Source organism: Homo sapiens, chromosome 8 (assembly GCF_000001405.40).
Source record: "Homo sapiens chromosome 8, GRCh38.p14 Primary Assembly".
Classification (NCBI taxonomy): domain Eukaryota; kingdom Metazoa; phylum Chordata; class Mammalia; order Primates; family Hominidae; genus Homo; species Homo sapiens.
The window spans coordinates 13,094,023-13,116,906 of NC_000008.11; the positions used below are offsets into that span (position 1 = coordinate 13,094,023).

The window sequence follows — 22,884 nt, forward strand, 5'->3', positions numbered from 1 at the left end:
TTACAGCAAGATAAAACACACAGACACCTGTGAAATTTTAAATCCAACGGCCCTCCAAGAGGGGTGTGAAGCAACTGAAATTTCTGTAGACAAGGTGGAGACAGAAAGAGATCTTCGTACCTGATCTTTATCTGACCAGCTCAGATAACACTGTTCTAGAAACTAATGAAAGTCTAACTTTTCATTTTGCACGTAAAAACGTACAATTGCATCAGTCATTAGAGACTGGGAAATTTATTTTCACATCATTCAATAATTACACAGAAACCTGTTCCACAAACAAGGCGGCAAGGAAGAAGGTGATGACATGGGTTTCCAAGAGGTCACCATGCAGACTCTCTTGTCAAAAGAACGCTATCAAGGCCAGGCGTGGTGGCTCACACCTGTAATCCTAGCACTCTGGGAGGCCGAGGTGGGAGGATCACTTGAGGTCAGGAGTTCGAGACCATCCTGGCCAATATGGTGAAACCCTATCTCTGCTACAAATGCAAAAATTAGCCAGACGTGGTGGCGCCCTCCTGTAGTCCCAGCCACTTGGGAGGCTGAGGTGGGAGAATCGCTTGAACCTGGGAGGCAGAGGTTGCAGTGAGCCGAGGTCACGCCACTGCACTCCAGCCTGGATGACAGAGCGAGACTCCATCTCAAAAAAAAAAAGAATGCTATCAAGGAAGCTACAAGCTTCAGTTGGTCCCATTTTTCCCCAATGCCAACAATCTTAAGATCAAAGGACACTCACATTGGTAGATCTGTAGAAAGGTTTCCGAGAGTTTGTTCGTCATTAGTGGCTCAGGAAGATCTCGAAAATACTGCTTCAGCATGTCTGCCACGTCATAAGCAGACTGTCCTTCGTAGTTGACACAGTCTATGGCACCTTCATTCATCTGGCGCAGAGCCTGAATCCGGGACTTGACCCCCGATTTTCTGAAGAGCCCAACCTGTCGGAAGAGCAACACTAAGTGTGGGGTACATTCACGTGGACGCAGTGTTTACACCACACAACTAGAAGAAGCTGCATGTAATCCGAGCTCCCCTGAGTACGTGGACCCGCAGGCAGCGCTCTCACCTGATCCAAACAATGGTTCCGGAGGTATCGCATGGCCTGCTGGATGCTCTGAGGCAACGGTTGTCCTGTGCGCTGCACGTTGACCGTCAGTGGGACCCCAAACACACTCCGGTCCTTGTAGTCTGGAACCTTGATCCTCTTCATGAACTTGGGCACGGCCCTGTTAAAGAACACAGAGATGGTGGTGTTGGCGGAGACATGCTCACTTGTCTGTCTACACTTGTCCAATTCTGCAGGCAAACCCTGTGGGCTCCAGATCTGTGCTAATACGGTGGCTACTTAAATTTAAATTAAACAAAATGACAAATTCAGTTCCCCAGTGGTACTGGCCACACTTCAGGTGCTCCTTCATCTTTTGTGCTCAGTACCTACTGTATTGGCCTGTGCAGATAAAGAACATTCCTATCATCCAGACAGTTCTCCTGGACAGTGCTGTTCTAGATCTTCTAAGAGTGGGGGTTGACAGGTCCGTTTCCTCAGTTAGGAGCGTCCTTCCACCTTGAACCTGGAGAATTGGGGTCTACAGTCTTAAGGAAGCTGATGGATTTCCTTACAGAATGGCGGTATAGGAAGGAACAAGCAGAAAACAACATGTAATACCCTAATTAGGTGCATCTGATAGAGTGTGAAAAACAAGGTCCCTTTTGTCTTGAAAAAAGGGTAAGAATCACTTCTGAGTTCTTGATGAGATCGAAAGCATTTAGGGTCAAAAGGCGCAGATAACACATGATGGGAAAACAGCAATGAGAGCCTAACACAATGGGAGCCAACTCCAGAGCTCAACAGTGAATGACCTGAAGTCAAAATAAAATCTGCTGCTGATGACCCGGAGAACATTACATCTTTAGGTTTCTAAAGGAAGATGGAAAAGGAACAATGGGGGTTTTGTGAGCCGACCCCAGGCTCCCTGGTGTCCTGAAACCAGGTCCACCCCAGCACTATATGCAACAGCAGGAAACCCATGTCATGCATTTCAGGCTGTCAAGCAGAAATTCCAGCTCTCCAAATGACCTCTCTGAACAGGACCCGAAAGGGCAAGGCCAAACAGGAAAAGAACCTTGTGTAGGATTCCTCCCTGCTCCACAGATCCCACCATGTGAGGCTTTTACAGTTGGTTTTGAGTCACTGGAAACACTGACCAGAACTCAAGAAGTATTATGGACTTTCAGATTCTTGAGGGTTTGGTGGGATGGGGGTGGGCCACTCCGAAATGAGAATCTAAAATATGCAGTTTTAAATAGCCAGCAGGGAAAATATTACTCTAAGCACAGAGGAACTCCAGAGAAGACAGACTGCTTTGCCTTTTGAATGCTCACCAGCAGCCATGGCATGTTACTGTTTATAGCTCCAGGAAAGGTAAAACGAAAGAGCAAAGTTAAGTTTGTATTTCCATACAGTTAAGTGTGTGGTATCATGGCTATAAGTGTGCATAATACTCGCTTTGTCGGGGGAGAAAAGCCCGACGGCGGAATGTGAAAAGAACACATTACGATCCCCACCGAGAATCTGAAGCATGTGAGGATAAACCGGTCAATACTTATTTCTGTCATTCAGAACAAACAACTTCTGTATTTAGCAAGGCTCACATAATAACAGCCTTTGAACGGGAGGTGCTTTGATGCTGAAGTTAAATCTGCTATGAGTCCTAAGGAGAGGAGGAGCTGGAGACAAAAAGAACAGTTTCCTTGCTTTGCCGACTTTCTCAAGCAACTTGGGTTTGCTACAGAGTGCTACTAATGAAATGGGCGGCTTCTCCATTTTTATCAAATATGGTAGTGTGCGACTGGATAATAAACACTCAGATTACTGAAAAGACTTAAGGATTCCCAGATGACACTGAAAAATGCACTGAGATGTCAATCTAGAAACATTTCTCTGCTTGGCACTGATAGCAGAAAAATTAAGATGTACCCAGATTAGGTGATATCCATGACCCATCTAGCCTTACAGCCTACCCCTCACATTCTATATACTAAGGAGCTATATTTTTCAAAGTAATTATGAACAATTTGTACAATGCATTTCATCTCTACATTTGAGTCTATAATATGTTAGAGTAGTGAATTCCTTAAAATAATTATTCACTGTTAGACAGTCTTTGCTAGAAAAAAAGTAACCTGAATTCTTTAGCACAGGTGGATGCTACAAATATTCACATCCAAATTTATTATTATTATTATTATTATTATTTTTTGAGATAGAGTCTTACTCTGTCACCCAGGCTGGAGTGCAGTAGCCTTATCTTGGGGCTCACTGCAACCTCCATCTTCTGGGTTCAAGGGATTCTCATGCCTCAGCTTCCTGAGTAGATGGGATTACAGGTGCATGCCACCACACTCAGCTAATTTTTGTATTTTTAGTAGAGATGGGGTTTCGCCATGTTGGCCAGGCTGGTCTCAAACTCCTGGCGTCATGTGATCCACCTATGTCAGATTCCCAAAATGCTGGGATTACAGGCATGAGCCACCACACCCGCCCCAAAATGATTTCTAAAAACAGGCATGAATACGGTTATAAGACCAGGTACTGTAAATCAAGAATTTCAAAGATGGTCTCATTAAATCTTATTGTTTTCCTTTTCCTCCATCCAAAAATACGATCTGATACTGTGCATACATTTACTTATAGTGGATTATTCTTAATATTGGGAAGGAGGTGCCTATACCACGTGATGCAAGAGTAATGCATTCTCACCCCATCAACTGGCAATCTGTCACTCAAAGAGCTGAAAACTCAATCAACCCACCCACGCTGATAATTTCCTAAGACTCCACTGGCTTCAACAATATCAAATGTGGCCTCAAGAATATAGAGAGTGGCTGGCGTGGTGGCTCACGCCTGTAATTCCAGCAACTTGGGAGGCCGAGGCAGGTGGATCTCTTGAGCCCAGGAATTCCAGACCAGCCTAGTTAACACGGTGAAACCCCATCTCTTCAAAAAGGAAAAAAGAAAAAAAAAAAAAAAAAAAAAAAAGCTAGCCGGGTGTGGTGGAAAGCAACTGTAGTCCCACCTACTCAGGAGTCCAGCCACTCTGGAGCCTCAGGTGGGAGAATCGCTAGAGCCCAGAAGGTCAAGGCTGCAGTGAGCCGAGATCGCACCACTGCACCGCACTCCAGCCTACGTAACAGAGCAAGACCCTGTCTCAAAACAAACAAACAAACAAACAAAAATGCAGAGAGTGATTGCCATAGGATGACAGATGAAATATATTAATAAAGGAGAGAAGTGTCATTTTTTACTGTGGGGACAACCTCAAGGAACTGACCAAAAATATCATTTTCAACGACAGTTGACTGATCATTTAAACTCTTACCAGCTAAAACCATGCTTGTTAGAAGGTGTGTATTTCTCCAGCAGGGCCGTTAGCTTTAGGAGTGAGTATTTCTGCAGCAGGTTCATCTGGGCCACAGACTGGCAGTTAATCTGTAGTGATACAGAGTTGAGGCTTGGCCGATGTGAGCTCTGGAAACTGTGCCATCTCAGTCGGTGCCTGCGAGAGAAGAGGAGAGGAAAATGAGTGTGAAGCCTTTTTATTTGATTTTATTTATTTTATTTTTTCTTGCTCTGTTGCCCAGGCTGGAGTGCAGTGGTGCCATCACAGCTCACTGCAGCCTTGAACTCCTCAGCTCAAGTGATCCTCCTGCCTCAGCCTCCTGAGTAGCCAGGACTGTAGGCCTGTGCCACCACATCTGACTCATTTTTTAATTTTTTGTAGAGATAGAGTCTCCCTATGTTGTCCAGCTTGGTCTCAAACTCTTGGCCTCAAGTGATCCTCCCACCTCGGCCTCCCAAAGTATTGGATTACAAGTGTGAGCCACTGTGCCTGGCCCAAAGGCTTTTTAATAGGTAGAAGCAACATTAGCAATGGGCTGCTTGCTGGCATCTTATCTTAGGAACTGATAGGACTTGATTTCTATCCCATGCTTTAATCCCCATTATGGGAAAATATACACAATATAAAGTGCACCATTTTCACCATTTTTAAATGTGCAGTTGAGTGGCACCAAGTTCATTCTCATTGTGTGACCATCTCTGCCAACCATCTCCAGAACTTTTTTCATCTTCCCCAACCGGAACTCTATACCCATTCAATCCTATCGATTTCTTTGAATTTTGGTGCTTCCTGGTTTGACACCTTCCTTAGGAATGGACATGGCTAAGAATGCCAGACTTAATCCCATTTCTTCCCACAGAACAAGCACAGGCAATGTCTTTCTGACCCCCAGTGCCCCACACCCGGAGGCAGGAGAAAAGTTCTTACCTGTTGGACCTGGTTAGGGAAGCCCCAACCCCAGAATCCCTTCTTTCCGGGATCTCGGAGGGCTCTTCCGGTTCATTCAGGGAGTTGCCTGTGCTGTCCAGGTCGCTGGGTGTGGTTCGGTCGTTGTCCACATCCAGGTGTATCTGTTTTGGAGAGGACGGGCAGGGAGAGACCGAGTCCAGGGCTGAGTCCGAATCTCCCTCATCAGAAAACTTCTCCGACCACTGATTGACTATCCGCTGCATCCCCTTCACGTGGTAGAGGATGTCGTCCAGCTCGGGGAAGATGTCCTCGTTCTCCAGATCCGCCAGGTCCCCTGAACTGGAGTAGAGGATGGAGCCCGGCACGTTGTCGTAGATGCTCAGGCGGCTGCTCATGGAGCTGGAAGAATTGCGTCTCTTCAGTTCCTTGGGGCTGTCGCTACTGTTTTCCCTCCTGAGGCTGATGTGGCCAGGGCCGTGGAAGCTTCCCGTCCTCCAGTTCACAGAGCCGTTATTCCCCGAGGGGGAGAAACTGCCATTGGTGAGAGCTTTGGGGAAAGTGCCAGGCTTGTGATCTTCAGGGATGTAGAACACCGTGTCCTCTGGGTAGCTCTCGCGGTTCTTAAAGTTCTGCTCCACCACGTTGTTAAATGTTGACTGATTGAAAGGATCGAAGCCCTCTAAGTACATGCCCACCCGCTTGTTGCACGCACTGAGGCTCCGGGTCCTCGTAACAGGGCTGGGCGTGCTGACCGCGCTGCTGGTCTCCGACTGGCTGCTGCTGCTGCTGGTCTGCGTGGAGTTGGAAACGCTCCTCTTTCGTACCATGGGGACGTTGATGCGGTTGCCATTGAGGGCGGAGATCTCCACGCAGTTGAGCTGCTTCAGCTTCTCCTCATCCATCCCCTCTTGCAAGATGGGCCCGCTGATGATCAACCCCAGCTTTGAGGGCGCTTTGTGCTTGCTGTGATGGGAGCTCTTGAGCTTCAGGCTCTCCATCCGTTTCAGCAGACTGCGCGTCTTGGACTTGGCAGTTTTTTCGTGGCCTTTCATGCTGAAGCTGAAGCTGGACAGTTCCTTGGGAGAGGGCAGGCTGCCGAAAGAGTCGTCATTGCCTGCCAAGTTGCTGGAGGAGCAAACGCTGATGACGGAGTTAGTCCGGGGGGTGGCAGCATCCTCGCTGGGGGGCGCGTGGCTGGGGAGGCTGCCAGTGCTGCTGAGGCTGCGGACGGAAGACACCTCCTGGCGCTCGCTGAGGTCCATCAGCGTGCCTCCGGGGCTGGGGCCGTCCTTCGGGTGGGAGTCGTCTGGGGACCCAGGGACCAGGTCTTGTTTTGGAGAAAAGACATCAAACTCTTCAAGCCGGGACCACCTCTTGCTGTCCCTTTGGAAAGTCCATTTGCCACTGATGGCACAAGGCTCATCCTCGTCTGAATCGTCACTCTGCAAAGACAGAAAGGAGCCATTCACACACTGGGGCTGGCAGCCAGCAGGGAGCAGGGCATGAGCAGGAGGCTGCTCATAATATGCCAGTAGTATCAATTTCCCCCTTGTACTTCATGATTTTAATTTTAAAGTTTTTTTTTTTTTTTTTTTAAAAATAGGGTCTCACTCTGTTGTACAGGCTGTATTGCCCAGGCTGATTCTGAACTGCTGACCTCAAGTGATCCTCCCACCTGAGCCTCCCAAAGTGCTGCGGTGACAGGGATAAGCTACTGTGCCCAGCCCCACTTACATATTCTTTTTCTTTTTTAAATTTTTTGTAGAGAGCAGTAGTCTTACTATGCTGCCTAGGCTGGTCTCAAACTCCTGGCCTCAAGCGATCCTCCCACGTGGGCTTCCCAAAGTGTTGGGATTACAGGCATGAGCCACAGTGCCCGGTGTTTTGTTTTGTTCTTTAAATAACAAAGATGTATTTAAAGAATTTAACAGGAGAGTGCCTGACCAAATGTTGCAAGTTAAATAAGAACTATTTTATGGAAACTCTGGGATCCATAGGCTGTTCTTTAATTGCTCATAGAGGAAACCTCTGAGATGGTGAAAATTCCAGGCATGCAAAATATTTTGAACTGAAGTCAGCAATGAGCAGGACTGCCTCTGGGCTGCCTTCCATTGTGCTGTCTTTTGTTGGTGTATGTTTATATTCCCTCTTGCAATTAAAAAGGTAGTTTTCAAACACTAAGAAGAGTGGCAACTTAAATCTCTAGACACTAAAAATGTATAAGGTCTCCCACTGGAGTAAAGGGGCCCTGGATCAAGGTGGGTCATCAAGCAGATTCAGTCCACTATCAGTGCTTTGGAGACTCTTACCAGTACCTTTTCTTCCCCTCCCCCACAAGACATGAAGGCTAGCGCTCAGGCCACAGCTGACCTGTGAAGTTTCAACCTCAGTCATGCTCCAGCCAATTGAACAAGGCTTCACAAATACCCAGCCCTGACAGCTCGCGGCATTCATAAACACTAAGGAACGTCTTTGCTGATTATGCCCGATTTATGTACAGGACTCAGGGATAAGCTGTCACACGGACTATTGCATCTTGGCCTTTTCGGCAGGATATCAAAGGGCACAATTCGGTATGATACATGTCTTTTCCACTGGTGTGGAAAATATCCTGTGGCCCAAGTTTCACAGGACAATGAGTGGCAAGCATGGAGCGCTGGCTTCTAGGACTCTTCTGCATAGCTCAGTGGGCGCTGAGGTTCCAGTTCATTTGTTTAAAAGCTTTGACTCCCCAAGAAGGCAACTTTTTGCAGCTCAGGGATTCTGGCATAATTAAAATTTGAACCCGGAAGTCAGAAATATGTTCTTTGACCAGACTCATTCCTGTTTACTCTAATTTGTGACACTTACTCCCAGTACTACACCCACCTCTTCTCCTAAGATCTCATAAAAAGTCTTCACAACTCACACGCAGAAGAAAATACCATCCAGCTCGGTTGTGTACCACCATTTGACTAAACTGTGTGGGATCTCCTGCCTTCTCCTCTTCCTCTTCCAATTCCTTTCCTCCCTCCAAATCTCTTATTATTCTTCAATATTGCACAAATCGGCCTTCGCTTTCATCTCTACAGCTTTGAAGCACAGTTATTGTTATATTTGGGAAGACAGAAGAGTTGGAAATAAACCTCAGTTTATTTCCTCTATGAGCAATGCAAAAATCCACTGGGATTCCTTAAGCATGATCCCTTTATTATGTAATAGGCATTGAGTTAGTAATTAGGCAAAATAATAGCTGATGTGATCAGGTCAAAAACAATAGATAAAATAATGTAATGGACTAGTTGCAACTATTGGCTTCAACTACATAAGGCTATCAAGTCTAGGCGATATCATTCAAGATGTAGATGCTTACGGAACAACAAACTAAGAGTTGGAGAAACAAAACCTATTACAAAACACATCATTCACTTTTTTGTTTGCCCCTTTTCCCCCTCATTCTATTATGCAATTTGTATACTCACTCGTTTCCGATGAGGACTAATTTCTAGCTTCATCACCGCACATTTGTTTAAAGTATTTAGACGCCTATAGAGCAAAGAAATAACGTTAGCAAAGATAGGCAACCACTCTCTAATGAGTGGATAAACACCTGTTTTTAAACAATTCATATATTTAAGGAGTTTCTTGAAACTCAGTAATACCTAATACCTAGAGGAGTATTAGAAACTTATTTAAAAAGTGAGTCATTTAAAAATACCTTGGCCGGGCGTGGTGGCTCACGCCTGTAATCCCAGCACTTTGGGAGGCCTAGGCGGGTGGATCACGAGGTCAGGAGAGCGAGACCATCCTGGCTAACACGGTGAAACCCCGTCTCTACTAAAAATACAAAAAAACAAGCCGGGCCTGGTGGTGGGCGCCTGTAGTCCCAGCTACTCAGGAGGCTGAGGCAGGAGAATGGCGTGAACCCGGGAGGCGGAGATTGCAGTGAGCCAAGATAGCGCCACTGCACTCCAGCCTGGGCGACAGAGTGAGACTCCTTCTCAAAATAAATAAATAAATAAATAAATAAATAAATAAATAAATAAATAAATACCTTTATGTTTTGTAAGTTTTTCACTTTAATTTTTATATTTTAGTGTGAAATGGCACACAGCTATGATACTGTCAAGTCTCTCTGATTCTTCAACTCTCAATGAGTTGTTCTTACTAAGAAAAATCATTCTTCCAATAACTCTTAGGTTGAGCCATTATGGACTGCCGCACATGGAGCCAAGAAAGAAAAGTTTGTGACTCGGCACGGTGGCTCATGCCTGTAATCCCAGCACTTTGGGAGGCCGAGGCAGGCAGATCACCTGAAGTCAGGAGTTTGAGACCAGCCTGTCCAACATGGCGAAACCCCAACTCTACTAAAAATGCAAAAATTAGCTGGGCATGGTCGTGGGTGCCTGTAATGCCAGCTACTCGGGAGGCTGTGGCAGGAAGAATCGCTTGAACCTGGGAGGTGAAGGTTGTAGTGAGCTGAGATTGTGCCACTGCACTCCAGCCTGGGCAAAAGAGCCAGACTCCATCTCAAAAAAAAAAAAAAAAAAAAGAAAGAAAGAAAAGAAAAGTTTGTGATGTCTCCTTTCATAGAAATAGAAACAGCAAAACAGCAACAAAGAACCAAGTAGAGTTTTTGGCAAAATAAACAGTGTCTTGTATTTGAAATCAAAACTCAAATTTAAAAAATTAGTTTTAGTTATCTCCGATGAATCATAATCTTGGACAGCCTGTCTAAAATTTTAGAGTCCTTGCACAGAATGGAAATTGAAGCCCTCTTTAATATCCAATATTTAGAACAGCTTCCTGTTATAGGACAATATAATGTGTGCTATAGTCACGGCAAATGATCATTTAAAGAATTTGCGTACTGTAACTTCAAGGATCCAAATCTTACCGGGTTCAAAATTAAGCACTCAGGTAAGACTCTTTTTGCAACAGCCATCCTATTGTCATTTTGATACCAATACTTTCACCTCTGCCAAACAGCAATATCAATTTAAAATTAGGGAAATTTAGTTTCGTTGAAAATAAAATACTTACAAAAAAAAAAAAAACCCAAAACCTCATGGAGAAATAATGCAACAGTTGAAAAAAGAAACACTTTAAATATGCTGAACTAAACGGTATGTACAACTATGAATGACAGCCCTTCAAGGCCCCAATTTTCCTGCCATCTCCCAGATGATCATCACTTAGTCTTCCTCAAATGAACCTGTAATGTGTCTGTTTGCCATCTGCTATCACCAGTTTTCTAGTTTTTCCTACGAATTGCAATTCTACATTTTCATAAGATCAGATCATTTAATTCACACAAATTCCTGGGAACCGTGAGACCTCCTCAGGGCTTTATCTTCCTGATCCTGTTCTTGCTGTTTGCCTAACAATGTTGATGCAACAGAATAGAAAGCATTTTTGCCTGCCTGATAAGCCCGATTTTGCCTTCATACCTTAGGTGGTAGCCTGTTTATAGAATAAATAAAGATAGCCCAGAGCGCCTAGGTTCAGAAAAGTTCTCTCTGTTGATGGGGAAGAAAAGAAAACAAATAACTAAGAAAAAGTCTGCACACTTTAAAATGAGTGGATATAAGGTCCCTCTATTGGGGGTATCAATTACTTAAATGACTTACACCCACAGTGTTTTAGTTCTCAAATGCTTTCAAGATTTAAAGAATCCGGAATGGTTACAGTTAGTCTTAGGTCTGGGTTCCATTAATCAAACCTGTAATCAAATAGTCACTTGACTTCATTTGGGCTTTAATGGTTGAATGGTGTTTATAACCAAATTTACTAGCCAGAGGCCTATGGGGCTGGAGAGGGGTTTAGCCTCACAAACTCCAGATTTTAGTCAAACTAAAAAGACCCAGGAGGCCAGTTCTATAAAGGTCAACATTACCTTTTTATGTTGGTAGCACCCAGCTAATGGCATTACAGACCTAAAGCCCAGAGTTATACCCTAGGGTTTCTGTGGTTTTCATTTGTCCTGGAGGACCCCCAAAGAATGTACTCTGCTGGGACCTTATTTCCTTACAGAGACAGTACTGATATCAAATCATAGTTCCAGCTACACAAACGAGGCCTACTGCGGGCCAGGCACTATGCTAGGCACTTCCTATATATGACTTCATCTTCCCAACGACCCTATGGTACAGATATTATGATTAACCTAGATTTTACAGATGAGGAAATGGGGCTCAGGGAGGTCACAGATCTTGTCTAAGTCCACACGATTAAAACATGGTGGCTCTCAAACCCAGTAACTTCTAGGTTCCTTTCTTTTTCTTCTTTTTTTTTTTTTTTGGAGACAGTCTTGCTCTATTGCCCAGGCTGGAGTGCAGTGGCTCACTGCAACCTCCGCCTCCCCGTTTCAAGCAATTCTCATGCCTCAGCCTCCTGAGCAGCTGGGACTACAGGTGCCCGCCACCAGGCCCAGCTAATTTTTTGTATTTTTAGTAGAAGTGGGGGTTTGCCATGTTGCCCGGCTGGTCTCGACCTCCTGAGCTCAGGCAATCCGCTCATCTCGGCCTCCCAAAGTGCTAGGATCACAGGCATGAGCCACTGCACCCGGCAATCTGTGTTCCTTTCTAATATAAATATTAATGGTAGTAATAAATGAAAGCAACTTATATCCTAAGGGATTCCTCACACAGTGGCTGATATGCTGGGCGTAACCCATCCGTCCAGAAGCCTGGGCCTTTCCCATCCCCCTAAGGACCCTCCCAGGCTGGGCTCCACAGGAATGTGTCCCTCTTATCTCCTGGGCAACTTCTACCCTGCTCTGAAGAGGGAGGAGTGCAAGGCTGGCCTATCAGAGGTTCAAGAGCTTCTCTGCATGGAGCTGCAGGAACCCAGATAAAAGCACAGCAGGTGGGGACCTGGGCCCCATTGTATTAAAAGTAAAAACAAGCCAAAAACAAAGAAGAGAAGAGGGAGAAGGGGGAAAGATACAATTTTCCAAGTAAGACTCTCACAAATAAAAATGGTTACAATTCTTAAAGATATTTTCTTGGAATCTGTGCAATTGCTTTAAAAAATTACATGCTACTCCCAGCCTTTTCTTTTCTTTTTGAGACAGGGTCACTCAGGTTGGAATGCAATGGTGCTATCATGGCACATTGGAGCCTGGACCTCCTGGGCTCACAGGATCCTCCCGCCTCAGCCTCCCAAGTAGCTGGGACTACAGGTATGCACCATCATGCCTGGCTAATTTTTGTTCTTTATTATAGAAATGGGGTCTTGCCATGTTTCCCAGGATGGTCTCCAACTCCTGGAGGCTCAAGGGATCCTCCCATCTTGGCCTCCCAAATTGTTGAGCCACTGTGCCCGGCTACGTGCTTACCTTTTAACAGACCAGAAATTGTGACAAAGTTAAAATCTGCTCTAAGGTGGGCTGCTTTGCATGGCTCAGGCATCTGATGGACTGCTTTACAACAAAGTGAATACTGCAGGTGACAGTGTGGAAATCTATTTTTCATTATACAACTGTCACTTGATGTACATACTTCTTTGCTGTGTTTATAGAAGGAGTCATTTTTAATTCCAAAGGAAAATAGCAATTTGGAATAGTTTTCAGAAGCTGTAGGAAGGCAAGCAATAGAAAGAACATTTCACAAGAGGTATCCTCGTAGTGAATCACAGTTCACAATACTACGTGCACATGCTTCAAGACAAAGCGAATCACTCCTCCAGGATTACCATTGAGTATAGCTCTCATAATATTGGCCTTATCATTGGAATTGCATTATATAGTAAAGCTAGCAAGATCAGGCCAAAGCCGTTTCTCCAAGGGAACAGACACATGAACCCCTTGCAGTGTGAATGTAAAAATGCTGGTTAGCAATCTAAATCCAAAAAATCTATAGTCCCACACTTGTAACTTTTGGTTATTGCCAAACTTTATATTTAAGACTATGTCATTGTTCTCATAAAACCCACTAACTCTACAAGTCTTCTTGCCCTGAGTAGAAAAAGAAGCTCCTACTTACTTCTTGACCAAAGGAGCTGTAAGATCTGTAAATGTCACAGGTACATGAACACTCTAAACTAAGAATAATGCTAGAGTAAATACGAGATCACTTATAAGATCCCTGCATAAAATATGGTCCAGTACAAGGGGAGGAGGTAGGTGGGAAAGATTTTGTAAAATGTTTAAGCTGAATTTCTGCAACCATATTACCACATGTATTTAAAATCAACTGTTCAGAAAATATCAACAAGGCAAAGACAAAAGTCTATAAAAAGTCTGTCAGTCTAGAGAGAACTTCTAAATCACAGGGCAAAATTTCAAATAATACTGGAGCTTCGTTATTTGCTGGCCCTTGAATTCCATAGGCCAAGAAGGTATTTGGAAGAGGCAGGTCTAGCAAATGAAGTGACTATCACATAATCAGTACAACAACTATCTCAACTACACTATGCAGCTGACAGCTCAGAACTTGTACTACGTTTTAAAGAAAGTTGCTGGCTGGTCGCGGTGGCTCACGCCTGTAATCCCCAGCCCTTTGGGAGCCCAAGGCAGGTGGATCAGGAGTTCAAGACCAGCCTGGCCAGTATGGTGAAACCCCATCTCTACTAAAAAAATACAAAAAATTAGCTGGGCGTGGTGGTGGGTGCCTGTAATCCCAGCTATTCAGGGGGCTGAGGCAGAGAATTGCTTGAACCTGGGAGGCGGAGGTTGCAGTGAGCCGAGATCACGCCACTGTACTCCAGCCTGAGCGACAGAGTGAGACTCCATCTCAAAAAAATAAAAAAATAAAATAAAGGAAGCTGCTTGAAATACACCCGATAGAGGTCCCTTTTCTTCTGAACATTTGTTTAGGCCTCTCGAAAGGGGCATCATTTTCATGAAAAGTCCATTTATGTGGACATGTGGACAAGAGCCCTGGGGTTTTCCATTACAAACCAGTTGATGACTATTACTGTGAACTCTGAAGAATTTCCTTTTTTAAAAAAGAAAATCCAACCCTAGGCCTTTCTGCACATACTCAAATTGGGGCCTGATAATTTAATTTTTAAAGCGCTCTGACATCCATCACTGCATTTCCTATAAGATGTTATTCTATGCAGGAGAGAAAACTGAAGCCCAACTAGCATATGTGGCAGAGTCTGCTTCTTCTAGGCTTTTCTTTTCACCAAAGATCTAGCAGCACAGACTTATTCGCTTCAGAGAAAGGTGGCTTCTCAAAAGGTACTCAGAGCCAGTGTAAATTGCAAAGTACAGAGGATACTTTTTTTCCCAGAAATGGAAAACAACATTTCAAACTGATATTCTGAAAAAGCATTCAAGAATTTAATCATGACCCTTTGGCCTGAAATGCTGCAGTGATATTTTTATGACCCAAGAATTCCTAAGCTATTGCTGCTGTCCAGAGTGCCCACTCTCTAACTGCGTGAAATGATGTAATGCTTAAATATTTCCTAAGATGCATCTCAGAAGTGACCTCATGCATATGCATGATCAGCAGTGATGGATTGAAAACAGATTAATTCTGCTCCACAGCTAAGCATGAAAACATTAAAAAAATGTCTGGAGTAGTTCATATTCCAGATGCAGACTCCTTCCCCTCCCGAAACTGCATCTGGTTTCATTCCCGATGATATAGTAATGATATTACACTCCACAGTGAAGTTCTTGGAATTAGGTTTCTTTCAGAAAATGGGTACACACCCTGTACGTTTCTATCAGTCATTTAATTGGACTACAAAAGTGACAGCGTTTCTGTGGTTAAGAGGACTGTTTGTTTTTTCCTCTCTTAAACCATGAGAACTAGTCTAGTCCATACACTATGCTAAATATCCCATCTATCTGCCCCAAACCACTGCTTACTTTGGCTGCTTCATATAACACTGTATTATATGAGAAAGGCAGAAAACAGAACTACCACTGCTTTCCTTGCCTACAAAGAGGAAAGAAATACTGGGTGTCATTCTACCTTCATGATGTTTTTCCAAGTTGAAAAAAATACTGAGATGGGGTGTGGTGGCTCACTCCTGTAATCCCAGCACTTTGGGAGGCCGAGATGGATGACTGCTTGAGCCCAGGAGTTCAAGACCAGCCTGAGCAACACAGCAAGACCGCATCTCTACAAAAAATACAAAAATTAGCTGGGTATGGTGGTGTGCACCTGCAGTCCCAGCTACTCCAGAGGCTGAAGTGGGAGGATCACCTGTAGCTGGGAGGTCAAGGCTGCAGTGAACCATGATTGTGCCACTGCACTCCAGCCTGAGCGACAGAGTGAGACCTTGTCTTTAAAAATAAAAAAAAATAAAATAAAAAACAGAACAAAAAAAAAACAGGCTGGGTGCGGTGGCTCACGCCTGTAATCCCTGGACTTTGGGAGGCCGAGGTGGGTGGATCACCTGAGGTTAGGAATTTGAGACCATCCTGGCAACATGGTGAAACCCAGTCTCTACTGAAAATACACAAAATTAGCTGGGCGTGATGGTGGGCGCCTGTAATCCTAGCTACTTGGGAGGCTGAGGTAGGAGATTTACTTGAACCTGGGAGGCGGAGGTTGCAGTGAGCCGAGACCACGCCACTGCACTCCAGCCTGGGCAACAAGAGCGAAACTCCTTCTCAAAAAAACAGAAACAAAAACAGAAACAAAAAAAACAAAAACAAAAAAACCCTGAAATTAAAATAATACTTAGTTTCATAATCAAATCAACCTATGTGAGTTTTGTCTGTGTATAATTTTTTTCCCCCAGAATTCAGCTTTTAGGGATTTTAGCTTTTGAGAAAAATTAGAAAGGATGAAAAACTTAAAATGAGTAGACATGTCTTGAAGAGCTTGAAAGGATTATCAGTGTCCCATCATCGACTGCTACAGGTTTTATTACTTCCACCTCACTAAAACCTATAAGCTGCCTCTCAGCTTGAAGACCCAAAACCACAATGATCAAGAATTTCTGACGGTTTTATTCAATTTCTCATCATTTAACTGTCTGTTGCCTATATGTTAAAGACCATGCTGAGTTATTTTATAGCCTTATTTCGTCCTATCATTATTTTATACGAGGGGAAACTGAAGAGGTTGAGAGGAGCGTTCTTGGAATTCAAATGATGCTCCTGTCTTTATATGCCACCCCCCATTTATTCCTCTGAACATGCTTAATTTCCATCGTACCCTTTTAGGAAACCTTAATCCACGTTTCCAAACCACCTGAGAGTTGTTACTTGTTACACCAATTATATCAAATATGGAATGCTATTGTGTGAGTACTTCCTAGGACAGCGTGGATGCTATTTTAATGGCAATACTAAATAACAATATTTTACTTAGTTTTTAATTAAAAGGTCTATGATCACTCTATGGTTTGCCAATAAAAACCTAACACAATTAGCAAGAACAAAAGCAAACAAAGCCTATCTTTGTGAGAAGTACTGTGTTCTTAAAAAATAAAAAAGGAAAACACTCAAAACGTGTCCATTTACCTGCATAGAGCCTCAATGGCATCTCTGTCCAAAAAATCATGCTCTCTCTTGACCAAGGAAATATCGATGGGGAACAGGAAATCTATGAGAAAAATAAACAGATGTATTTGTTGAGCGCCTAAAACCCAATTTGCCAAATAGCCCAGTTTACCAAAGCAGGGATAAAACTCTTCAGCAATATACTAAGCACCTACTGTAGGACACCTCATTCCCCGTCAAGTTCTATGGGACTATAAGGCAATTGAAGCCAATCGGGCATCACTGTCCTAAAGGAGCTTCGGCTTTAATGTGGGGGAAACTCAAAATATTGCTTCTGGTCAAGGAGAAGTGGTTCAGAACATTGTTATATGTTTAAACAAATCAGCAGGCAATGAGTCCCCAGTAGAAATTATAATTTAAGCCACAAAGACTGTCAGAAGAATGCTCCGTTTTAATGTGGCTGGGCTGTGTGTATGTGTGTGTGTCTTTGCTCACGTGTGATCAGGGAAAGGTCACGGAAAGAAAACTGAGCCACAGAAAGATCTAGAGAACAATGAAAAGTGGTAGGAAATGGAATGTAATCCACTCACATGGCATCAAGAGCTAAGGAGAATTCAAGATATGCTTTTTAAAAACAAATATTAGCACTGCAATATGGCCTTGCAGGAATTGATATAACTCCCCTAAAAAGAAAGGGCTAGCTATGAAGTTGCTATAGAACAACAGAATCTCAAATCCTTTAATCTGTAGAAGAGTTCATTCAGTTCTCTCGAGACAATGAAGAAGCTGTATCAGAACTGAAAACCAGAGAGGGGGAAAACAGTCGACTCAATGGAGGAATTCCTTTCTCTGGACTACATAAAAAGATCCCTTGGTAAGTAAATATACCCAAGAAAAGGAGAGCGGAGGTAGCCGCTGTGGAAATTTACAACAGCTCTGAAATTGCCACTGGATAAAGGCAAGTTATCACCCTCTTGGAGTCCCAACTATGAGGGCAAATCATGGGCCTCCTCAGTAGAGTGCTACTACAATACCAGGAAGAGGAGTGTCTCGGTGTAGGGTAACCCTTTGGACCAGACCTGGGTGAAATCAGTCATCACAGCAGGAAACTAGAATCACCACAAGCTAAAAAATTCTCTTTGGCTGGGCACTGTGGCTCACATCTGTAATCCCAGCAGTTTGGGAGGCCCCAAGGACAGAAGATCATTTGAGCTCAGGAGTTTGAGACCAGCCTGAGCAGCATGGCGAGACCTTGTCTCTACAAAAAAAATCTAAAAAAATTTTACTGGGCATGGTGGCATGCGGGCTGTGGTCTCAGCTACATGGGATGCTGAGGTGGAAGATCACCTGAGCCCCAGAGTTTGAGGCTGCAGTGAACTCTGATTATACCATTGCACTTCAGCCTGGATGACAGAGTGAGACCCTATCTGAAAAAAATAAATAAAAAGTAAAAAAATCCCTTTGGCCTTCAAAATGGCTAATGCCACACAGTGGAACAGACATGGCTGTCAGCAGTTTTGGAGACGCAGGTAATTAGTCCTGCTCCAGCTCCTGCGGGTGCACAACTGTTCATTATGTTTTTATTGTTTCTTATGATTACTGGTTTTATGGAATGATATGGAATTTCTTATTCTTAGTAATCTATTTTCTAGAGATAATATATCAGAATGAGTATAAAGTTATAGTCTATCCTTTTTTTTCTGAAGGCTACAGTTGGATTACTGACATTGTTCCCTAAATGATAATATAAGCAGACCAAGGAAGTGGCTATAGTCCAGAGATTTATGAATACATAAAATTTAGTATCACAGAATGACATTTCTTCACTAATTTATAGACCAAGTCTCTCTTAGACAAATGATTCATGGAACCATTATAATGGAAATAGAAAGACTTATAGTCAATGGAAACTGGAGCACTAGTAAATGAGGGAAGACAGGTTGTAACATTGTTTGAAGGTTGTGACACTGTATTTTGCTTTTTTTTGTTTGTTTTCAAATTTTTTAAATAGAGATGCGATCTCACTACGTTGGCCAGGTTGGCCTTGAACTCCTGGCCTCAAGTCATCCTCCCACCTCAGCCTCCCAAAGTCCTGGGATTACAGGCATGAGCCACCATTCCTGGCCAATATTTGACTCTGAATACACACCAAGATGAAATAACAGAGCTGATATTAAGGAATATTTTTTAATATTTACAGAGTATAATATCAGATCTATAAATGTAAATTGAAATTTTCATATGCCTATTACCTATATGTGAGAAAGTAACTATGTTATTTTAGGAATTCTAAGTTAGTATACCCAGAGCCATATTTTAGATTCCTTTTCTAATCCAAATTAACAATTTTTAAAAAATCTGGTAGGTATTAAATGCAAGTGAGGAGTGTAAGAATTAAATCAGTAATTTTCTTTTATTTGCCTGGACTCCTTTCTGAAAGGACTGGCTTTTAAAAGATGATAGTTTACTGATGTATAGAAGATGTTCTCTGAACTCAACTTCCACTGTGGGTTGAAAGGCAGGAAGTATAAATTGCCAAGTACGCAAATCAAGCTTAACAGGGGGACATGTGTGGGTTGGTATGGGGTGTATAGTGTATGTACTCACCCAGCACACAGTGGCAGGAAAAACGGGGGGAGGCAATGGCCCAGAACAATACGCAGTGTACCCCAAAAGTAGTCTTATGCTTCAAAAGACTTGGGAACATGAAGGGACCCCAAATGTAACTTGTGCAAATGCACCCTGCATTTTAGGATTAGGAAAGAGGAGACACAGGGAATGGAATTGGGTCTTAGCAAACATATATATCACAAGAAAGTGCTACCTGGCAGCAAATCAATGCCAAAAACGAGCATAATTGAAGAAAACTTAGTTTCTAAATAGGAGAACAAAAGGACAGCCACTTTGGTGTTACTGCCAATGCAGTTGTCTTTCCTTATCTCCAGTAGAGCTATGAATTGAAAATCCAATAGAATGCTGGTCCCCCTTTCCCCAAAGCCCTTCTAAATGTTAACAGGTTAAAACTTCTCTCTAAAGGAAAGACAAGTAACTCCACCAAAATAAGCATGCAAGTTAATCAAAAGAAATTGGAGATATTCTCTGGAATGAAGAAACAGTAAGATATTTTACACGGTCTAACAATAAAACAATTCAGAATCCATCTTCTTGGAAAAAATATCACAATCAGTCTAGGCTACATAAGGAAGACCGGGTATTCTAACTTGGGAATCACTTTGCTATTCACCCAACCTCTGTTTGAAAGTTACCCATAAAATGGAATGCATTAGTTCATAGCTGTAATTATTTTAAATTGACTTCATATAGAGTATAATGAAACTCCCATTTAAATGAACTGCCTAGGCCAGGCGTGGTTGCTCATGTCTGTAATCCCAGCACTTTGGGAGGCCAAGGTGGGTGGATCACCTGAGGTCGGGAGTTCACGACCAGCTTGGCCAACATGGTAAAACCCCGGCTCTACTAAAAACACAAAAATTGGCCGGGCATGGTGGCACATGCCCATAATCCCAGCTACTCAGGAGGCTGAGGCAGGTGAATCGCTTGAACCCGGGAGGCAGAGGTTGCAGTGAGCCAAAATCACACCACTGAACTCCAGCCAGGGCGACAGAGCGAGACTCCGTCTCAAAACAAATAAATAAATAAATGAACAGCCTATTTATCTTGACATGCAGGGAGCACAAGCACTCCCCAGGGTACGCAGAAGCTGAGAGAATGACCTCAGTATCCAAGCAATCCCCAGGGCACTGATAAGAAAATGAGATGTTAAGAATTCAGCACAGATCCTATTTTTTTTTTTGAACCATTTTTCTCAATTGAAAAACTGAATGCCACAGAAAACATAATATTCATTAAAAGACAACCTAGAGAAAAGTGAAATGCCTAATTACAAATGGTGGGAAAGATATCTGCAACACGTGACCAATGAAAGATTAGTATTTAGAATAAAAAGAGCCCTTATAAATCATTAAGAGAAGCATAATGTGAGCAAACAAATGTGGCCGAGTGACATGAATAAATGCTCATTACCATGAAGGATTAGGGAAATGGCAGTCAAAATCTCTATATCATTTTATATCCATTTGGTTGGCAAAAATTAAAGTCTGACAATATCAAGCGTTGAGGGAATGTGGATACACAGATTGGTAAGAGTGAAAATTGGTACGGGCACTTTCGAAAAGCTTGCATTTTAAAATTGAACATACATATTCTTTATTACCCAGTAATTCTGTTCCTAGGGATAGAAGCAAGATGAATCATTATGCATGTACCACAAAAGATAGATGCAAGAATGTTCACAACAGCACAGCTTATAAAAGCAAAACAGAGAAAGCCAAAATACCCACCAACCAGAGTGTGGATATGAATAAACAGTGGTTTCTTGTGTAATACACAATGGTGTATTACACAGCAGCCAAAGCAAATGCATAACAGGCCCATACAGTATAGAAGAATCTTAACAATACAATATTAAGTGAAAAATAAAAACCCCATGAAATTACATACGACACACTACCCTTTTTATAAACGTAAAAATTACTTTGTAAAAATGTACTTTTCAGGAAATGGAGTAGAATTATACAAAAAGAAAGCAAGAAAATGATAGTCTTCAGCATGCTGATTACTTTGGGTAGGGAGTGGCAGGCAGCAGATGGGGGAGTGGCATGGGCGTGTTACCAAGGTGCTAGCTTTTGTTTTCAGCGGTGGGGGTCTTGCATGCTTACAACATTTTTTTTAAAAATAAAACATTTAAACGATAAAACTGCTGAAAATAAGTCATAGATCAGTAATACTCGCGAACAAGGGATTATGATTATGCCAACTTTTAAAAAGTGGCATTCCCAGCTTACCTTCATAAAGCTGTGCATACTGGGGGAAACCAGTTGCCCGTAGCCAATCACAAGCTTCCTTGGCTTCAATTTCTAGAACAGAACAGAAGAAAGACAAAATTAGCCATGTGTACCTCGCCATGCTTATTTTTCCTGAATAAGCTTTCGTTTTATGATACAAGCAAAACATGACTGCCATAGAAAATACAGATAAGCAAACAGACATACACGCTTAATTCGAATGGTTTACATTTTGTATGCATCGTTTCCAGTTTTTTCACGTGTACATGAGGATGTATTTTCCCTTTACAAAAAATAGAAATGGGGTCCTGAGAGTAAGTTTCTCATTTTGTGCTGCTTCTGAAGTGCTCTGATTACAAACGGTTATGAAAATAAGGCATCATGAGAAAGTTGAAGAGAGATTTAATAACTCATTTGAAGCCTGGCCGGCCTATTGTACTACTTTTCACTTCAACAAAAGGCCACAAAGTACCTCCACCACCACGCTAAAATAGAATTTATCTGAGTAAAGTCACAGGCTTTCTGACACCCAGGGGTTGGGTGTTTCAAAAGCCCCTGACCTTGTGTTGTTTCACTGTTGCGTGATCAGGTACTCATCAGGTATTAATCCAGTAGGAGAGGCCCAGGCTGTCAAGGAACATGGAGGGCACGAAGTCAGTAAATCCCACAATCTTGGCAGGCAGAAATGGCTAATAAAGCTTCTACCTCCCTGTGGTTTCACATCTTGTAGATAGAATCGATAAACAGAAAGGCCAAGAGCAACTGACACACTGTGTTAAAACTCACTGGAGCACATATTTACAATCCCGTTAAAACTGACTCACAGAGGAGGTCCTGGGAACATTAGTTAGTGTCTCTGCTTGCACAAAGAATATTCCTTTCAACTCTTCCTCCCACCTTCCTCAGGCCATGAGAGTACTCAGTTACACAAGTCTGTTCACTCATTTATAAAGGTCTCAACATTGCATAATTTATGCCAGATTCAAATCTTCATTAAGCATCTCTCTCAAGCAAGTGGGAGACTAATAGTTCATATCAGAAGTGTAACACATCTTATTTTTGTCTAGTAACTTTATGTTTTCAAAGCACTTTTTCACCTATTATTTCCTGAGTTCCTTGGCCTTTGAAGAAAGGTAATTAAGCAAATCCAAATTCATTAAAGCAAGTGGGAATTTGATCAATGAACACAGGAAAGAGAAAAAAAATAACCTGCCATCTCCTGATGAGTTCTTAATACCCAAACTAAAAACGATTATGGCAGTAGCCTGGAAATAAATAGCATGGCAAAGTTAACTTCATGAATCTTTTCAGTGCAGCAGTG

At 42.8% G+C, this 22,884-nt stretch overlaps 1 protein-coding gene across 23 annotated transcripts in view, besides 3 other annotated features; it reads right to left on the reverse strand.

The window, feature by feature from the left end:
• The window catches only part of DLC1 (DLC1 Rho GTPase activating protein), a 521,260-nt gene that overhangs the window by 10,662 nt on the left and 487,714 nt on the right, over positions 1 to 22,884 (reverse strand). For 13 of the 23 annotated variants that reach the window (NM_001348081.2, NM_001413124.1, NM_182643.3 and 10 more), the window contains 7 exons: positions 21,564 to 21,635; positions 16,720 to 16,801; positions 8,768 to 8,831; positions 5,325 to 6,748; positions 4,377 to 4,553; positions 1,064 to 1,223; positions 737 to 935 (listed from right to left, as the gene is read on the reverse strand). In NM_001348081.2, the coding sequence (NP_001335010.1) occupies positions 737 to 935; positions 1,064 to 1,223; positions 4,377 to 4,553; positions 5,325 to 6,748; positions 8,768 to 8,831; positions 16,720 to 16,801; positions 21,564 to 21,635 (2,178 nt within the window). Of the gene's footprint in view, positions 1 to 736; positions 936 to 1,063; positions 1,224 to 4,376; positions 4,554 to 5,324; positions 6,749 to 8,767; positions 8,832 to 12,624; positions 12,862 to 16,719; positions 16,802 to 19,305; positions 19,441 to 21,563; positions 21,636 to 22,123; positions 22,223 to 22,884 lie in introns of those variants that run through there. The other 10 variants (NM_001348082.2, NM_001413128.1, NM_001348084.2 and 7 more) reach the window with 5 other exon arrangements.
• Positions 6,113 to 6,492: a silencer, noted in NCBI's record as "fragment chr8:12957644-12958023 (GRCh37/hg19 assembly coordinates)". NCBI's record gives its function as "represses an EF-1alpha promoter that drives an FKBP-Casp9 reporter gene in an ReSE screen in phorbol 12-myristate 13-acetate-treated (for megakaryocytic differentiation) K562 erythroleukemia cells {active_cell/tissue: K562(+PMA)}" and the evidence as "EXISTENCE:reporter gene assay evidence [ECO:0000049][PMID:32094911]".
• Positions 11,135 to 11,781: an enhancer, noted in NCBI's record as "H3K4me1 hESC enhancer chr8:12962666-12963312 (GRCh37/hg19 assembly coordinates)". NCBI's record gives its function as "activates a minimal SCP1, AML or CMV promoter by ChIP-STARR-seq in naive H9 embryonic stem cells {active_cell/tissue: H9 hESC(naive)}" and the evidence as "EXISTENCE:reporter gene assay evidence [ECO:0000049][PMID:30033119]".
• Positions 13,850 to 14,349: an enhancer, noted in NCBI's record as "H3K27ac hESC enhancer chr8:12965381-12965880 (GRCh37/hg19 assembly coordinates)". NCBI's record gives its function as "activates a minimal SCP1, AML or CMV promoter by ChIP-STARR-seq in naive H9 embryonic stem cells {active_cell/tissue: H9 hESC(naive)}" and the evidence as "EXISTENCE:reporter gene assay evidence [ECO:0000049][PMID:30033119]".